The 19,490-nt window shown below is 43.8% G+C and overlaps 2 protein-coding genes across 5 annotated transcripts in view, besides 2 other annotated features; one reads left to right on the top strand and one right to left on the bottom strand.

Moving 5' to 3' along the window:
• GNPAT (glyceronephosphate O-acyltransferase) overlaps positions 1-1,687 on the bottom strand; it is a 36,762-nt gene extending 35,075 nt beyond the window's left edge. For all 3 annotated transcript variants that reach the window (NM_014236.4, XM_005273313.5, NM_001316350.2), the window contains exon 1: positions 1,443-1,687. In NM_014236.4, the coding sequence (NP_055051.1) occupies positions 1,443-1,520 (78 nt within the window). In that variant the 5' untranslated portion in view covers positions 1,521-1,687. The remainder of the gene's footprint in view (positions 1-1,442) is intronic.
• Positions 785-1,674: an enhancer, noted in NCBI's record as "H3K27ac hESC enhancer chr1:231376971-231377860 (GRCh37/hg19 assembly coordinates)". NCBI's record gives its function as "activates a minimal SCP1, AML or CMV promoter by ChIP-STARR-seq in primed H9 embryonic stem cells {active_cell/tissue: H9 hESC(primed)}" and the evidence as "EXISTENCE:reporter gene assay evidence [ECO:0000049][PMID:30033119]".
• Positions 1,655-1,994: an enhancer, noted in NCBI's record as "active region_2725". NCBI's record gives its function as "activates an Ori minimal core promoter by ATAC-STARR-seq in GM12878 lymphoblastoid cells {active_cell/tissue: GM12878}" and the evidence as "EXISTENCE:reporter gene assay evidence [ECO:0000049][PMID:35858748]".
• On the top strand, positions 1,724-19,134 carry FSAF1 (40S small subunit processome assembly factor 1). Of its 2 annotated transcripts, none has more exons than NM_001300830.2 (7): positions 1,724-1,875; positions 3,711-4,042; positions 13,693-13,749; positions 15,831-15,926; positions 16,074-16,160; positions 17,376-17,428; positions 18,485-19,134. In NM_001300830.2, exons 1-7 carry the CDS (start codon positions 1,758-1,760, stop codon positions 18,618-18,620), a joined length of 879 nt encoding a protein of 292 aa, NP_001287759.1. In that variant the 5' UTR covers positions 1,724-1,757; the 3' UTR covers positions 18,621-19,134. The 2 variants fall into 2 exon arrangements, with proteins under 2 accessions (NP_001287759.1, NP_689592.2); NM_152379.4 differs by having other exon boundaries at positions 13,690-13,749.
• The last annotated feature ends 356 nt before the right edge of the window (positions 19,135-19,490 follow it).

Genomic DNA, 19,490 nt, shown 5'->3' with positions numbered 1-19,490 from the left:
AACTACCAGTAAAGAGTGGGTTGCTGTCCAGCATCAGAACTACAGAATGCTCAGATACAACTGCCATAGTTTTTCACATGAAAAAGTGGACTCAAGTCTTATTAAAGAACCGTTGGTAAAGGGGAAGTAAAACAAACAAACAAACAAACAAAACCAACTCCTTCCTTTAATGTACAAAAGGAAAATTCCAACCAATTCACAAACCAGTTGGGAGCTTAAAAAGCTACATGTTAAAAGCTGGATCTGCACAGCAACCCTCTTCCCTTCGTGCCTGCTCTGGAGTAGCAGAGTCAGAAAACAAAGTTGATATCCACCACAGAACTGTGGGGAAGATAAGATCAATGAAGAGATATATCTAAATAATAAGGCTTATAGGCAGTTAGCAATCAGAAACCGAAAGGTCTTGATAGAGAGGGAACAGAAGTTTCTCCATGTTCCAAAGAATATTGGTGTCTCAATTTGAAGGAACCCATATATTCTCTTTCAAAACTGGGGTGTTTATCTTGCTCTGCTGTGTTATCCCTGTTTTGACCTTTCTGCACAAATGAACACTACATTTAAGCCAAAATTGGACAGTAATCACCAGGATATGCTAATATGCTTTTAAAATGAATTCTTTCATTTTCTCCTAAAGTAGCTAAAAACTAATTTAGTGGTTAAAAACAACAAGAAACAAACAAAAACCAAACCAGTTGCCCCAGGTCTGTGCAATCCTGAAGGCTATAAAGCTCCCATCTCATAATTTCTTCATGAAAATCGTGGGTGACCAACATCTGCCAGCCAAAAAGACCCGTTAAAACCAAGAGAGGAAGAGGGGGTTGGAGGAAAAAAAGACAAGCGGGAGAGAAGCTGGGTGGCGCTGGCTGTCCTCCAAAATGATTTGTGGAAAAGGTACAATAATGACTGGAAGACAAGAACAGGCAATAAAAATGTCTAGAAGTTCTAAATTTTCCTGAAGTGTTTAAAACTCTATTCCCACATACAAGCCAAGTGCTCTACTCCCAGGAATATAACAGCAGCATAGGGCGGGGTGCGGAGCCACAGGCTATCTCAGGGCGGGTCAAACCCGCAAGTTTCTCAGGTTTGCCCAAAAGGTAGCTCGACATGCCCTCGCTAGAGATGGGGAGACTCCAATTCTCATTCCTCATTCTCGTGTCCAGGAGCTTTCTGAAGGCCCCAGGGCCTGATAGAAAGAAAGAGAAGGAAAAAGTGGAAAGGAACCAAAGGAACCATAATCCGTAGAAACTTCCAAAAGCATGCACACACAGACACACAGCGATACACTGTTGTCCTGGAAACCAATCCAACCAACTAACCCCTCCTCGGGAGCCTAGGGGCCAGCTCTTTTGGGCAAGGGTGGTGGGCCGGAGGAATAGGGACTGGGAGAAAGGGGTACTATTTCGCGCGGCTCCGCTCTGGGCCTCTTTTCCCTGGGCGCCTACCGAGTAGAGGAGCACGACAGCGCTGGGACTGGTTGGGCCAACGGAGAAATAAGAGTTAGATGAACTGGAAGACTCCATGGTGCGGCTGCCTTCCCGGGCGGGGTCTGGGATTCTTTGCTAAGCCGTGGTGGTGCTCCTGCTGGGGGCGGTTCTTTCGCTCAGGACGGCCCTACTTCGCCTAGGGCGGCGGCACCCTCTGCAGCCGCTACACAGGATCCCGGGCGCCGCCATCTCAGCCAGGACGGAAGCCGCGCAGGGCCCTGCAGCGCATGCGCGCAGTCGCGGAACCCGGAAGCGGGGGTGCAGCGCGGCAGAATGAGGGTTGATTCCTCGGCTGACCCCACAATGTCGCAGGAGCAAGGGCCGGGGTCCTCCACGCCTCCCAGTTCTCCGACACTTCTTGACGCTCTGCTCCAGAACCTTTACGACTTTGGTGAGTGCGGGGTCCCAGGAGCCCACGTGGAGAACAGATTTGAGGAACGTGGGTCTCCTGTGTTGCCCGTCCTGGGTTGGCCTCTGCTTTGAGGCTAAAGGTTCTTGCATGTCAAGCACCCTTCGTCCCACCTGGTTCCAGTAGCGAACACATTTCTCCATCGGAAGTCACCCCTCGACCGGGCTCTGCTGAGTTATTCATCAAACCTTCCAACTCGTCCCCAAGTGTGGGGACCATCCTACTTGCTTGTAGGAAGCACCAAGGCTTTCCGATTTAAAAGTAGCCCGCTTTTCCACGTTTTCTTGAGCCCTGGGAAGTCCCCTTTCCCCATGCCACCCCCAAGACCTGCCTGACCCTGGTGCGATGGTGTCATTTCGCTCTGGGGCCTCGGGCCTGTTGGATAATACACCAGCTTCATCCTTGTGTGTCCCTCTCCAGAGACATCATAGTCCTTGGCGAGTTGTCCTTTTCACGACTTTTTTTTTTTTAAACAAGTGCGCTGATCTTTTACTCTCCGTTCTTTGTCTTGATGGGGGAAAAGGAAAATAAAAGAGCCTATTAAAGTCGCATGGCATGTCAGTAGGAAGACAGTGCCTCATACTCTGAAGAGCTTTCCCGGGAGAAGGTGACACCCTTTGCACATGCACCAAAGAAAATCATTAGATTTCAGGACAACACACATTTCTTAAATTTACAGCGTGATATTTTAAAAGCTATTTTTATTTTGGAATGACTGCTCAAAATTCTAAGTTCACCTAAACAGTAGGAATAATAGTTAAAACTGTTGAGAACTTGCCATATAGCACATGCTTTTCGTGTATTTGCTCATTTAATTTTCAACTTCATGAAATAGACACTGTCATAAATCCATGATTGCAGATGTAGAAACAAGTACTAGAAGTTCATGAAACCTGATGCAGGTTGTCTGACTGGTAATTTTTGCAGAGCCTGGGTTCTGATTCTAGCCCCAGACCCCATGCTTGTATTAACTAGCATTTCTGTGCCCTTGGACATATTGGAGGACAGAGAAGACTTAGTCTCTGACCTTGAGAAGTTTAAAATCTAGAGGAAAAGACTATTCTGCAAAATAATATAGTTCATGTCAACACAGGCTGGAAATCATGGTAGGAGCTCTGAAGGCATTGAATGTGTCTATTCATTTTTATATCCTTAATGCCAAAGTTTAGTTGGCTCTTAAATGTTTATTGTATAAAAGATTAAGCAAATAGTAGCAAGCATAAATCAGCAGCTGGTAATTTAGAGAGCTCTGTGGTATTTGTAATACATGTGAGTAAGGATGCCTAGGATTCTGGTTAGAACTTTCAGGTGACTGGTCAGAGCTTCAACAAGTGAAATATAGAAAGAGGAATTAATAGAAAACAAAGGCATTCAAATTGAGCCAGTTGTCTTAGGTTCATCTTAATTCCTAACTGTGAAAGAAAATAGGAAGACTATTCCATGTTCCTGTAACCCAGAAAGTGTTAAAAAGAAACAGTGGCTGCAGTGCCTGATATTTTTAGTATAAAGCCAATTGGGATTACCAGCCCTGGGGACTATTGCTGTGATGACACTTTGAGTAGGAACCAAAGTGGAGACTAAAGTGATTGTGCTAATAAGGGTCAAAGACATAGTTACCTAGGAAAAGATGACTACATTTTGGATTCTCTGCATTTTGCAAATACACTTATTTGAAAGAAAACAAATAGTTTATTTCTTTGTGTGTGCTTCTAGGTGCATATAGCCCTGGAATATGTACAAATACATTCGTAGGATTTGATACTGATGATAGCTAAGACTGAAAATATTTATTTTCCTTCTTGTGTTTGAACAAACAGGAGGTACAGAAGGTGAAACAGAACAGAAGAAGATCATAAAGAAAAGGGAAAACAAGAAGAGAGATGTGATGGCTTCAGCGGCCTTGGCAGCAGAGCCATCTCCCCTACCTGGTTCTCTCATAAGAGGCCAGAGGAAGAGCGCTTCGAGCTTCTTCAAGGAACTTAGAGAAGAGCGGCATTGTGCTCCTTCTGGGACCCCCACAGGACCAGAGATCCTTGCTGCTGCAGTTCCTCCCTCTTCCCTAAAGAACAATAGGGAACAAGTAGAAGTGGTAGAATTTCACAGCAATAAAAAAAGAAAATTGACGCCAGATCATAACAAGAACACAAAGGTAATGAGTTGGTTAGCTTATATATACGTGGTGAACCCCCTGGTATTGTAGTATTAGGTGAATAGCTCTTTAGACTGTGGCAGGAATGCCTGACTATCCTCAGGCCTGCAGATTTGCCAAAAGGACTCACAGGACCCAAGACTCAGCATATAGCCCTTATCAGTCATGTAGGCCTACAGACTGACCTTAGTTATTCAAGTTCTAGACCTCCAGTGAAAAGCAGGTATTCACCATCAATCACATTGCTAGTATAAACTGTCTGGGAAAACTTGGTACAGCAGTGGCTCAAGACCTCAGGTATGCAAAAACACTCTGATCAGGCAGAATATTCTAATTGCTCAATTCTCAGGAGGCAGCCAACTGCCAGTCATGAAAATAGGACTTTCTTGGGAATGTGCAGGGTTTGGTAAACACAGGCCTGCTGAGTTAACTCTTACAGCAACTCTTTCTGGCATTCCTGTTATGTGCTAGCCACAGTTGTAGGCACTGGGATATAGCAGTGAACCAAATGTATAGAAATTCTTGCTCTCGAGGAAAAGCAATGCTGGTGGAAAAGCAATTTGATTTTTCTGAGCAGTAATCTTTTTCAGAGTGAGCTTGTAAATCTCACCTAAAATTCAGTCCCCAAGGGAGGTGTGGTTGCTCCTCCAAATGTTTTTAATTTTTTTTTTTTTTGAGACGGAGTCTCGTTCTGTTGCCCAGGCTGGAGTGCAGTGGCACGATCTTAGCTCATTGCAAGCTCCACCTCCCAGGTTCATGCCATTCTTCTGCCTCAGCCTCCCAAGTAACTGGGACTACAGGTGCCTGCCACCACGCCTGGCTAGTTTTTTGTATTTTTAGTAGAGTCAGGGTTTCACCATGTTAGCCAGGATGGTCTTGATCTCCCGACCTCGTGATCTGCCCGCCTTGGCTTCCCCAAATGCTGGGACTACAGGCGTGAGCCACTGCGCCTGGCCCCAAATGTTTTTAATTTATCTATTCACAAGAATATCATAATGGCTTTGACAAATTCATTGCTATTCCATTTCTGTAACATCCCCCACGTCCTGCAAACCTTTGTCTATCAACAAAGAAGTGAGGATTGAACGTATTAGTTTCTAAGCCTGCTATAACAAATTACCACAAACATGGTGACTTAAACCAACAGAAATGTATTCTCTTACAGTTCCGTAGTCCAGAAGTCCAAAATCAAAGTGTTGGCAGGGCCATGCTCCCTCTGAGGGCTTTGGGGGAGAATCCTTTGCCTCTGACCAGAAGGTAGCTCTAACAGTTTCCTTGGCTTGTGGTTGCATAACTATAATCTCTGCCTCCGTCTTAATGTGGTTTTCATCCCTGTGTCCCTGAGTCTCATGTTTCCCTCTGCCTTCCTCTTTGCTTTAGGCCCACCCTGAATCTGGGATGATCTCCTTTTGAGATGTTTAATTATAAAGATCCCTCTCCAAGTAAGATCACATTCACAGGTTCTGAAGAGGAGTAGGACATGGCCATATGTTTTTAGAGGCCACAATTCTACCCACTACGAAGATGGTTTGGCTTGCATTGTTCTTTATGAATGTATAAATGTATGTTAGTGTCCAGTGTTTGCCACATCTTTATGGTTTTAAAAACCATCTGTATAATCTTTTCTAAAATTCAGGTAGCATTTCATATCAAGCTTGCTGGCATCTCTTCCTCAAAGATCGTTAGCGCATTCTGCAGGCTGAGCGTGGTGGCTCACGCCAGTAATCCGAGCACTTTGGGATGCCAAGGCCAGAGGATTGCTTGACTTCAGGAAGTCGAGACTGCAGTGGGCTGTGATTGTGTCACTGCACTCCAGCGGGGGTGACAGAGCGAGACCCTTTCTCCAAAAAAAAAAAAAAAGATTATTAGTGAATCTGTAACCATGTCTACCTTTATTTTAGGATTCTAGATAAGCTTCTTAACTCTTATGTTCCAAATATAAGGCTCTGGGAACTGTTACGGGAGGGTCAAGAAATGGATTCCCTTGGTGTTTGGGGCAACCAGAGCCCCGAAGCTGGCCATCTCCCAGTACCCCAGTGTACCCTACAAATACTGGTATTTTCTGTATGTGTCATGATATGAAAAATGTTGGTGAGCACTGCTTTGCAATATAATTCAGCATTTGAAGACTTCAACTAACATAAAGCATTTAGGCACCCTTTCTTGTTTCTTCAAATGTCTCAGACTTCAGTTTCCTCTTATATTCCCTCATGTTCTTTTTTCTGGAATGGAAAGTTTTCTTTTTAATAGAAAAGACAGAAGAGTTGGGATTGAATGAGTCTGCATTTCCCTGTTGCTTAATAATAGAACATCTGTGGCAGTCTGTCAAATTGTCTTTTGCTTCCCGTTCCAAGCGAGCCCTGATGCATTCTAGTTGGCTCTTCTCAGGAGCCTCAGCTCACTCTACGTTTTGAACTTCCTGACCTTAATGAAAATTTTCATTTGTCATTGCTGCTCTCTGCCCTTTCCTCTTGTTTTTTTTTTAAATGTGTCCTTTGAAAATGTGAGTGTGTCTGGTTAAGGAAACAGAATGTGGACACATTAAAAACACATACACCTGTAAAATGACCTCAGAATGTTGACATTGCGGTGTGGAAATAAATACACATGAATATAATGCTAGTTCTTATGGCATATCCTGGGTATGCCAAGTTAAAGGGTAGTCAGCCAACTGGTGCTAATTGGAATACACCAGCTGTGCTGAGTTTGTGTAACATGGGAAAGTATAGTTGTGCCCTTGTTCTCTAAAAACTTCTAAGCCATTGTAGGACAGTTAAACAGACATGGGTGGCAAAAATATATGATGGGTAATGGTAATCTCCATGACCAATCATAGCATCAGCTGGTCATTTTTAGAGAATGCTTGAGAAAGGAAGAAGGGGATGGTGAGTTGGACAACAATCCAGCTGGCCCTGCCTAGACCCAGGAAATTACCCTATTTTTCCAGAACTTGTGCTATAAATTCTATGATTAAGCTGCATCGTGCATTGAAGCAGGTTTTCATGGGGTCATCTCGGAACTTGGCCACCATTTATATATATTTTTTTATGTTTAGAGACAGGGTGTCACTCTGTCACTCCTGCTGGAATGCAGTGGTGTGATCATAGCTCACTGCAGCCTCCAATTCCTGGGCCCAAGCCATCCTCCTGCCTCAGCCTCCCAAGTAGCTAAGACTATAGGGCACACCACTATGCCTGGCTCATTTTAAAATTTTTTGTAGAGTTGGGGTCTTGTTTTGTTGCCCAGGCTTGGTCTTGAACCACTGATCTCAAGAAGTCCTTTTGCCGCAGCCTCCCAAAGCACTGGGATTACAGGTGTGAGAGCCACTGTGCCCAGCCATCATGTCCCTTTTTTTTTTTTTGAGATGGAGTCTTGCCCTGTCACCAGGCTGGAGTGCAGTGGCCTGATCTCAGCTCACTACAACCTCCGCCTCCCGGGTTCAAGCGATTCTCCTCCCTCAGCCTCCTGAGTAGCTGGGACTACAGGTGCACACAACCATGCCCAGCTAACTTTTGTATTTTTAGTAGAGATGGGGTTTCACCATGTTGGCCAGGATGGTCTCGATCTTGACCTCGTGATCTGCCCTCCTTGGCCTCCCAAAGTGCTAGGATTACAGACGTGAGCCACTGCGTCCGGCCCATGTCCCATTTTTAATGTAGTGACTATACAAGTAATTTGGCTGGAAATAGTATGGGATCACATATTCATTCCTCCATTTATTCCACCAATCACTGGGTGCCTGCTGTCTGCAGACCTTGCAGATGGAGCAGTGAAGAAGATAATAGTGCTTTGCCTTTATGGAGTATACTGTACAATCTACTTTGGAGTTGAGCAATATAATTAGAAAGAATTATAAACAAATAGGGTCCTGGAGTACCATGCAGAACCTGGTCTAGATGTAGTGGTCAGGGAGGTCTCTCAGGAGGTAACATTCAGGCTAATGCTGTATTAAATGGTGCTGGTGAATGGGGCAGGGAAGAGTGAGCCAAGGAGGGAGAAAACAGCCTTGCTAACATTGTGGGGTATGAAGAGGCCTGGTGTGTTCAAGGAGCTGGAAGAAGTCTAGCAAGACTAGGACAGAAGGGAGAATGGTTGGTGCTAATACAAGAGAGACAGGCTGAGACCAGCCCTTGCCAGGTCTCATAGGCAGTAGTGAGCCTTGGGACTTTAGTCTTAAGTACATGAGAAGCCACCAAAGAATTTCATGCAAGGGCATGAGGTAATCTGATTTAAATTTTAAAACGATCACTGTAGCTCCTATGTGGTGAATCGATTATAAGGGAGCAATAGCAAGAGGCATGAGGAGACTGATGTAGGGGTTTGTTGCAGTGGTCCAGGTTCAAAATAGCGTGGCCTGGACTAGTGATCTCAAAAAAATGAATGGGCAAACCTACTCTTTCATAAGTGCAAGGCTGCCTGTAAGGAAGAAAATTCTTATGCTTTTAAGCAATGAAAGCGTCAGATGTAGCTTAACACACCTGTGTGTTGCTCAGCCCTTAGAGCTGTGTCACTGCCATTTCTCCACAGCTAGCATTGGGCCATCTTAACGTGAATCATTCACTGCCCCTGTTTCAGGAACCTTAGCCTCTTTTGTGGCCTCAGATAAGAAAGAGATAAGAAACACATAATAGAATAGTGTTCTGTAGATCAGAAGGGACCTTTGCATCCTGAGACTGAGGTACATGAAGGCCGCCCCTGAGCATATAGCGAATTGCTAATATTTATTGGGGGTGTACTGAGAGTGTTTGTTTATGTTCATTAACTCATTTATGGTCTCAATCCTCACAATTCCTGGCACCTGTCTTCATTTCACAGAGAAGCTTGAGACTTACAAGAGGTTAAGTTACTTGCCTGTAGTTAAACATTAACCTCACAGCCCCATATCTGCAATTCCAAACACCCAGAGCTCTGGAAACCACAATTTGATTGATCCCTTTTCTTTTAAGATTGGTGCAGATTTATTTGGCAGAAAAACCTGATGAAGCTTTTAAAAATCATTTTTGTTCGGCTGGGCACGGTGACTCATGCCTTTAATCCCGGCACTGTGGGAGGCTGAGGCAGGCGGATCACAAGGTCAGGAGTTCAAGACCAGCCTGGCCAATATGGTGAAATCCTGTCTTTACTAAAAATACAAAAATTAGCCGGGTGTGGTGGCATGCGCCTGTAGTTCCAGCTACTCAGGAGGCTGAGGCAGGAGAATCGCTTGAACCCGGTAGGCGGAGTTTGCAGTGAGTCGAGATTGTGCCACTACACTCCAGCCTGGGCAACAGAGCAAGACTCCGTCTCAAAAAAAAAAATTTTTTGTTCATCTCATTTGGTGTGAATATTCATAGATATTGCCACAGAAATATTAATGTGTTTAATTATGGATTACTGCCTTGGACCCTACTGGAAGTGGTCTGTAATATTCAGTATATTCAGTTTTGCCTTTTTAAAATGTAAAGACTTCTGAATTTTAAAGCTGGAACCTGACCCTAAGGATGCCAGATAAAGGATTATGGAGCTGAAGTAAGTGCCAAAGGTTGGGTTCAGACCCCAGGCTTTCTGGCTTCAACACTGTGTACATAACTTTTATACTAGAGAGAGCATAGGTGAGGTTAGGCTCTGCTCTTTGTCCTTTGAGTGACACAAGTACACTGACTCTGAGCCATCGCCAGACAGAGACATTTCTTGCAAGTTATAGTCAAATAGCTTTGATCGTTCCCCAAATTCTTGCAGCTCTCATACTGCCCCGCAATGTGGATGTAGCCCACTGCATGGTACTCCACCCGGAAATCCTCCATGCTCCAGTGCCTCTTCTTACTTTTACGCCAGACTTCCTGTTCCTGAGTAGATCAGTGTCAGATGGGTGTTAGGAAGAAAGTAATCTAGCTGAAGTAATTTAGGCTCATCAAGGTGTGAACAAACTTCTTAATATTCATACAGCCGTCTGCATTTTTAAAAGAGCATTTGTTTACCGGGCTACTCTCTCTCTAATTGGAGACAGGTTGGTTGGGCACTTCAACTAATAGATTAAAAAAGAAAGAAAATCTAAGCCGCGTAAGAGAAAATACCTAAATCACCCCATAGACGGGTTTGCTGAATCTGGTGGACTGCCTGCCTTCATCTCTCACTTTTCTTCCAAACTGTTCTTTCTTTTTCTAGCTTTTCTTCCTTCTTCCCTGCCCAGCATATAAGTTCTCAGAATCTCCATACATATCCCTCTCCCTTGTGTGGGATAGTAAGGCTAGATTAGTTGCGATAGGTTAGGCTGTGATTTGATAACAAATAGTCCCTACATCCCAGTGGTTTAAAAGACAAAAATTAATTTTTCTCATGTTACATGGCCATCGGGATTTGCAGAGGCAGGTCTCCTGTGCCACACCATCCTCACCTAGGGACCCGGGATGACGGGGTGCCACCATCTGGAGGGTGGTTAGTTGCTTTAATGAAGGAAAGGGGAGTTAATGAAGGGCTCTTAAGGGGTCCACGTGGAAGTAGGCACACACCCCCTCTGCTCGTGTTTCTTTGGCCAGGGAAAGCCACCTAGGCATTCCTAGCATCAAGTAGACGGGGAAGCGTGAGTCGCCTGTGTGCCTGGAAGTAGTGGAGGACCCAGTATTGCCTATGGGCAGTAATGCCTCCTACTGCAGAGAATATGGGGGGAAAGAAAACCGAGGAGACCACTGATGGTTTCTAAGTCAGGTCATGTATTATGAATAATGTACTGAAGTGATTCTCAAGCTATGAATAAAAATAAAAATTAGACAGTGGTGGGTCATGCTAATAGGGACTCAGCAGCTATGAAATAATGAGGCAAGAATTTTTTTTTCCCAAAAGTTTGTGTTTGATACATGCACAGATCTAGACCTCAGACCCTTTCTCAAAAAGCCATCAATAGCTACAAAACTAAGATGTTTCTGGTGAACTGTTTAAAGAGGGATGAGGACACCGAGGTATCTGTGTCTGTGCCAGAGCTACCACCAAGGGACTCTCTCCTCCCCTTGGTCTAGTCGGCCCCTCAGCCCTGGTGTCCCCACAGCCAAGGTGCAGGGGATTAGGTGTTCTCCGTGGCTGCTGATGGGGACAGCAGGAACTAGGAGAGGCCCGACATTGCTCCTTTCTTTTGTAGGCCGGTCTCTTTCCAGGGCCCAGGGGTTTCAGCCTCATAGTAGCTATCATACAGTTGGCCAAGAATTTTATTACTGTGCTGAAATCCTCTTTAAATTGCTCCATTCTCATGCTAATCTCTAGTAACAGATCGGCCAAAAACATCTATAACATCTCCAGTATTGCTAGAAATCTGACGTGCCTCGCGCCACTGCACTCCAGCCTGGCGACAGAGTGAGACCCCGTCTCAAAAAAAGAAAAAGAAATGTTCAACTTAGAGACTTGATTTAGCCATTACTTCAGTGGAGCGGGTAGGAGGGAAGAGAGGAATTACTTAAATGTTTAGAAAAGGCGGTAAATATCTTAGGGGATCTTGGAGATCTGGGAACGGTATACAGGGTTTTGTTTGTTTTTATAGGGGTTAGATATGGTCATAGTAAATAGATTAGATGTGCATGGCAGTGGAAAAGATATCGTAACTTCAAAGTAAATGTGGAATTTTTTCCAGTCATAGAATAGGAATAAGACTCTTTCTGGTGTGGATAAAATGGAAGTGGCGCACACAGAGTCCTCCGTGCTATGCCTGTGGTCTCAGTTAAGGCACTTGATGCTGTCAGCCAAGTGGGAGACAGGTTTGAAGAAAATCTGAAGCCAGGAAGGAAGATGAAGTAAATGGAAAGTGCGTCTGTTGTGATTAATAGCACAGAGCTAGGCCATACGCCTGGACCCTGACAGTGGTCCTCTGCTGTCACGTCCTCTGTTACCATCAGCACCCCAAGCCCACGGAGAGCCAGTCAGCGTCCAATGTGACAGTGGATGCCCATGATGCTGCTGATGGTATGGTCAGTAGATCCATTAGGAATAAGAGCGTTGGGTAAGCCTTGCTGTTTTTTGGACCCTGTGCCACACACTTATCACACTTTATCCAGTTATATCGTAATAACCCCCCTGTGAATTAAGTGCAGAGTTCCTCATCATCTGAAGAGTCATTTCATAGGGAGTCAGAAGCCATCATCTATGAAAACATGCAGTGACTGACTGTCTGAACCCACACACCTTAAATACAGTGGTGGGGGCTGGGGTGGGGGATGAGGAACCAGGCTAAGCAGAAGCACAGCTCCCGTTTGGAGAAGGAGAGAGCAAGTGGACTCCATTGTGGCTGCCTCATGGACTGTGTAGTTGCAGGGTGGACTACCACCATTGGTGGTCAATGGCACATGGTGCCGTTGTGATAGGCACCTCTTGGCAGGTAGGGCAGGAGATAGGGTGATATAAAGAGTCACATATTTTGGGGGCATTTGCAGCAACATCATTTTCTGTTAGGAATTATAAACCAAATCTCTGCCATGCTAGGAATCTGATATTTCTGAAAGAACTGTTTAGCCCATTACACTAGTGGCCAGATGGGAGGGAAGAAAGAAATAATTACTTGAATATAGCAGTTTTACCCTCTAAATTTTACATCTAAAATTCCTGCTCACAGCCATCCTTTTCTAAACCTTCCCAGCAAGCAGAATTTTCTGTGTGTGATGTGTGAGATTCAGGCAGTGCTCTCTTACCAGCTTTTCTTTTTTTCTCAGTTTCTCATCATTACTTTTATAAGCTTTGAGACCCTAAAAAGTATTGTCTCCATTTTTCTTCTGTTAGTTGTTCTTTAGGATTTTGAGCAACATGCTTGTATTACTTTTGACAGTTGGCCATCTGGGCCAGTTTCAAGGTTTCTTTCTGTTTTCCATTTTTTTAATTGTGGTAAAATATACATGAATGTAAAATTGACCATTTTAGCCATTTTTAAGTGTGCAGTTCAGTGGTGTTAAGCTCATTCATGGTGTTGTGCCACCCTCATTACCATCCATCTTCAGAACTCTTCTCAGCTTGCCGAACCGATGCTGATGCTCTATACCCATTAAACACCAGCTCCCCATTCCCCTCCCTCCAGCCCCTGGCAGCCACCATTCTAGCTTCTGTCTGTGTGAATTTGACTCCTCTGGGTATTTCATAAAATGGAATCATGCACATACCCTTCTGTGACTGGCTTATTTCACTTAGCATCATGTCTTCAAGGTTCATCCATGTAGCATGGGTTAGGAGTTCCTTCTTTTTTCAGGCTGTGGAATATTCCAGCATGTGTATATGCCACGTTCAAAAGTATCTGTCCATCTGTTGGTGGACATTTGAGTTGCTTCTGAGTTTATTATGAATAATGCTGCTATGAACGTAGGTGTACAAATATCTCTTCAAGTTCTTTTGGGTATATGCCCAGAAGAGGAATTGTCAGATCATATGATCATTCTATTTTTTAATTTTTGAGGGACCATCATAATTGTTTTCCCCAATGCCTATACCATGTGGTAAAACATTCCCACCAATATAGAGCATGGGTTCCAGTTTCTCTACATCCTTGCCAACACTTGTTATTTTCTGGTTTTTGGACAGTAGCCAGTCTAGTGGGTGTGAAAGGGTCACTTTCAGGTTCCTTAAAACATGTCTACTCTTTCGGTGATAGATACTATAATGATATAGTAACAGATGATCTAAATAAGAATTTTTTCTCTCAGCAGGCTAATCCTAGTGTTTTGGAGAGAGATGTGGATACACAAGAATTTAACCTAGAAAAAGTATGTACTTTGAGATTGTTAAATTATTTATAATTAACTTTATTTACAGTATTTGTTTATAAATGTATGTTTATATTAAATTTATTATAAGTTTATAACATAACATGCAAACTATGTAGTATAGATGTTAGGTATTATAAAAATTAACAGTTTTTATTTTGAGACAGAGTTTCACTCTTGTTGCCCAGGCTTGAGTGCAATGGCACCATCTCAGATCACTGCAACCTCTGCCTCTTGGGTTCAAGTGATTCTCCTGCCTTAGCCTCCTGAGCAGCTGGGATTACAGGTGCCTGCAACCACACCTGGCTAATTTTTTTGTATTTTTAGTAGAGATGGGGTTTCCCCATGTTAGCCAGGCTGGTCTCGAACTACTGACCTCAGGTTATCCACCCATCTCGGCCTCCCAGAGTGCTGGGATTACAGGTGTGAGCCACTGCACCCGGCCCAAATTAACAGTTTTATAATATCTAAAAATGAATATTTTACATGTCTAAAAGTTGGGAAAATGGTTAAGCAAATCATACTGCATTCACTTTTTTTTTTTTTTTTTTGAGGCAGAGTCTCCCTCTGTCACCCAGGCTGGAGTGCAGTGGCAGGATCTTGGCTCACTGCAGCCTCCAGCTCCTGAGTTCAAGTGATCCTCCGACTTCAGTCTCCGGAGTAGCTGGGATTACAGGCGTGTGCCACCACACCCAGCTAATTTTTGTATTTTTAATAGAGGTAGGGTTTCACCATGGTCGTCAAGCTGGTTTTGAACTCCTGACCTCAAGTGATCTACCTGGCCTGTCCTCCCAAAGTGTTGGGATTACATGCGTGAGCCACCACGCCTGGTCTGCACTCACTTGGTTGAATATTTTATACTCATTTAATACATGATGGTTTTGTGACTACAACGCCACTGATACGATGGTAAGTATGGGGATATGTATATTCTGTGGTTGTAATGTTTTAAAAAACACGTAAGAAAAAAGACAAGAAAAAGTAATTCAACTACTAAGAGTGGGTATTGCTGACTTTTTCTCTTCCTTCTAAAACCATGGATCTATGTTTGAAGCTGCTGTGATAAATGGTTTCTAAGTGTGAGTGGGTGTGTTTGGAGAGGTATTTTTCAGTTGAAATTATTGCCTTTATGGACAATGGCTTGTTTTAGAGAGCATCTTAAAGCTCTTAACTACAGAGCTCTGCATTGAATCCTGCCTCTGTTATTACTTTGTGCAGAGATAATTCTTTGTATCAGCTGTTCAAGTTAAACATGAGAGAGGGCGGGGCGCGGTGGCTCATGCCTGTAATCCCAGCACTTTGGGAGGCCGAGGTGGGTGGATCATGAGGTCAGGAGATTGAGACCATCCTGGCTAACACGGTGAAACCCCATCTTTACTAAAAAATACAAAAAAGTAGCTGGGCATGGTGGCAGGTACCTGTAGTCCCAGCTACTCGGGAGGCTGAGGCAGGCGAATGGCATGAACCCAGGAGGCAGAGCTTGCAGTGAGCTGAAATCATGCCACTGTGCTCCAGCCTGGGCAACAGAGTGAGACTCCGTCTCAAAAAAAAAAAAAAAAAAAAACCGTGGGCGAGAGCCAGGCACGGTGGCTCACACCTATAATCCCAGCACTTTGGGAGGCTGAGGTGGGAGGATCACTTGAGCCTAGGAGTTCAAGGCCAGTCTGGGCAACATAGTGAGACCTCTTCTCTATAAAACATTTTTTAAGAATTAGCTGGGTGTGGTGGTGCGTGCCTATAGTCCTAGCTACTCGGGAGGCTGAGGCAGGAGATCACATGCCCAGGAGGTCAAGGCTGCAGTGAGACATGATCATGCCTCTTTTTAACTGTACTCCATCCTGGCGGGTAACAGAGCAAGACCCTGTCTCAAAGGAAAAAAAACAGGAGAAAGATGTTGTGAGAGATGGTGTATGGTAGGAGAGCCTCCATAGAGCTCCTTTGACCACATGACAGTGGAGTTATTATTCCTGTACGCTGTCATTACAGAGCGGTGGATCTGAAATGCATTACTTCTGGCAGTATGTTTTTTTCTTTGGAGTTGTTGGAATGCACTTGCGTCTGATTATGCTTTGTGTCCGCAGGCTCGTTTAGAAGTGCACCGGTTTGGTATCACGGGTTATGGAAAAGGAAAGGAGAGAATCCTGGAACAGGAACGTGCCATTATGCTGGGCGCTAAGGTGAGGGGCTGCTGCTACCTTTCATCACTAGACAACATGCAAAAAAAGCAAGAGCAAGGAAAGCTAAGAGCAAGTCAGGGCAAGGGACACTGGAACATTTTTGCAGAATAAAATATGATGGTTTGTTTCTTTGTTCTTTCATTACAGCCTCCTAAAAAGAGTTATGTGAATTACAAGGTTTTACAGGAGCAAATTAAAGAAAAAAAGGCAGCAAAGGAAGAAGAAAAGAGACTGGTAGGTGTGATGGTCTGTCCTTTATTCAACTAGAATGGGAAGATGGATGCTCTTTGCCACAGTGGAATGCCGGAAGCCGCTGCTTGGAGAGCAATGAAGGCACCAGAGTTAAAGGATCCCATGCTCCCCATTTCTTCGAGTTAGCTCTGTTTAGTAATACCAGCCAAGTAATCTGGCGTACTTACATGCAAGATTTGCTTTGAAATAGCAAACTCCTTGTCTTAGTCCGTTTTTGTTGCTGTAAAGGAATGCCTGATGCTGCGTAATTTATAAAGAAAGGAGGCTGATTTGGAGCATGGTTCTGCAGACTGCATGGAAAGCATAGCACTGGCATCTGCTCGGCCTCCGGTGAGCATCTGAAGCTGCTTCCGCTCATGAGGGAAGGCAGAGGGAAGCCCATGTGTACAGAGATCACATGGCAAGAGCGAGACATGAAAGAGCGAAGCAGCAGTGGGGAGAGGTGCCAGGCTCTTTTTAACAAACAGCTCTCATGGGAAGTGGGAAGTAACAGAGGGAGAACTCACTCATTACCATGAGGACAGCACCAAGCCATTCATGAGGGATCCATTGCCATGACCCAAACACCTCCCACTAGGTCCCGTCTCTAATGTTGGGATCAAATTTCAACCTGAGGTTTGGAGGGTCAGCTATCCAAACTATAGCAATCCTGTTCCAATAATGCAGGCTACTTTGATCTTTCTTCTATACTTAGGTTTTTTTTTTTTTTTTTTTTTTTTTTTGCATTTTACGTTGTATAACCTTGTATACAACACAAGGGCCTATGAAAAACCACAAGGGGAATAGATGTTACACTTTCTACCTTTCACCTAAAATGGAAGATTTGAGCTTTCAGTGTAAGACTATTAGTCTTACCTGGAATAGCCATTCACATTCTTTTGTCTTTTTCTTTCTAACTGAGACAGGATCTTGCTGTGTTGCCCAGGCTGGTCTTGAACTCCTGGGATCAAGTGATCCTCCCCCCTTGGCTTCCTGGAGTGCTAGGACTATAGGCATGAGCCACCACGCCAGGCCCAGCCTTTCACATTCTTGAAAGGGTTTTAGGGTAAAACTTTGAGACTGTTATGTTTAATATGCCCACTTGAAAGAAATGTTAAAAATGGTATCTCAATGACTTTTGGTCACAAACCTCTTGCCTTTTGTTTGAATCCCATTATCCACTACTAATATGTATATGATCTTAAATTCTGAAATCAGGCCCAAGAAACAGATATTTTCAAGAAAAAGAAGAGGAAAGGACAGGAGGACAGGTGAGTGATTTTATCAGGTCCTGGGGTTGAACAATCTGGATGAACCTACTGATGAGTTCTGACAAGGACGCCTTGAATGTATGTGGTGTTGCTAGCCCATTAGAGCGCTTCACTGTCTCTCATTTATCCTTGTCAAAGTAGGATTTAGTAAACTGCCCAAGATCAAACAACTGCCTGAGAACTGAATTAGGAAGTTTCTCCAATCTTCCACTTTTCACCGACACTCTAAGTGACTAGTGGAAAAGCTGCAGTTTACATTTCCAAGAAAAGACTTCTAAGAGTGCTGCTACAGCAGCGTAGTCTGGGTCTGTATAGCCTGCTCTTTGACATACCACGTAAGATAGAGCACCGTAATTATGAATAAGGGATGTTGACTTTGTTGCTTTATACTTGTTTGTTAGCTTTTGTTCAAATGCCTTTTTCTCTGTCTTTGAGTTACTGTTTCAGAATGGACTCTTTTTGTCTTAGCCTGTTTTCTTGGGCTCCTAGTGCACTTGTACATGCTGTAAAATGGTCATTTGTTCTGGCCACCGATCTGTATCTGTTGAATGCCTCTTTGTGCCAGGCATGTGGGTGTCTTAGGTATTGGTGTACAGCTGTAATCACACTAAAGATATCCCTGCCCTTGAGGAGCTTCATTGTAGGGAGAGAAACACCCCAAAACATACAAATGGATAAGTAAGATGATATCAGGTACTGGCAAGTATTGTAGAGAGGCTGAAAGAGAGCATTGTGAAGGAAAACCACAGGGAGAAGGTGAGCTGGGAAATTAGTCTGAGGAGGTGACATCGGAGCTGAGAACTGAACAAAGAAGAGGGGCAGCCTGGAAAGAGCTGGTAGCAGAACATTCCTTGCAGAAGAAACCAGTGCAAGGGCCCTGAGGCAGGAAGGCAGTAGCATGTTTCAGGGACCACAGGAAGGCGTATGGGGTGGGGGGTGTGCATGGCAGGCGACCAGGAGTTTGCAGGCCAGACTGCAGTGGCCTGGTTGGTGGTACTGTGATGCTTGTTGGTAAGCTTGACTATTTATAGTACCTTTCTCTTACTTTAAATGTAGGAAATCCAAAAAGAAGTCCGCTCCCAGTATTTTGTCAAATGGACGGATTGGACAGGTTGGAAAATTCAAAAATGGAACACTGATTCTGAGCCCAGTTGATATCAAGAAAATAAATTCTTCCAGAGTGGCCAAATGAAGTACTTTGTCAAATAAAACGAGGATGGGAACAACTGAGTCAACTGCAGCGGCCCTGGACCCTGTGCGACTCTAGATAGATCGTTCTTAACACGCATTTCACAGACTGCTTTTTCATTTTAGAAAAAAAGTCAAACAGAAGTAACATTTCTAGTTGCCGAAGTGTCTGCTTCATGGTGCTGAACGTGTCAGGCCCAGTGCAGCATGAATGTGAAGTGAACCCACTGAAAAGTGATTTTTAATGTTCTCCAGCAAACTTCACTCCTGTTTCATGTTCACTGGTATTTGGTGCATTTGCTTGTAATACAGTTTTTTATAACTTTACTGTTTTGTAAATGCTAGTAGTTTACATTAAATTGCCTTATATTTTTAATGATTTAATGTTATGATATCATGAAAGAACCAAGAATCTAGTAATTTATCAGTTTTGTGGAAAAGCAGTTTTAATTTTTAGCCTACCATGTGTACAAAATCTACTTCATAAGAAGTTATATAAATAAAATAGGTTTGTAGTATATGTGCCTGTGACTGTTAAGTAACAGATGGTTTTAACTCATACTTTTGTGCCCACATTCAAGTGAATGTTATTTCTATCAGAGTTGTCATCACCTTTGCAGCCATATACATGTTTTTAATGATATTGCCCTTGCTTAAAGTGACAGCAACTTCTCAAAGCTTGTAGCACATTTAAAAAGGTCTTCGATGATGGTGACAATTTGGGCTTTTAAAAATTTCTGTTTTTTCAATTTTTTTTTTTTTGTGAGACGGAGTCTCACTCTGTCACCCAGGATGGAGTGCAATGGCACGATCTCAGCTCACTGCAACCTCCACCTCCTGGGTTCAAGCAATTCTCCTGCCTCAGCCTCCCGAG

Source organism: Homo sapiens, chromosome 1 (assembly GCF_000001405.40).
Source record: "Homo sapiens chromosome 1, GRCh38.p14 Primary Assembly".
Lineage (NCBI taxonomy): Eukaryota > Metazoa > Chordata > Mammalia > Primates > Hominidae > Homo > Homo sapiens.
The sequence above is the reverse complement of the archived record's forward strand: the minus strand, read 5'-3'. Positions and strand labels throughout refer to the sequence as shown.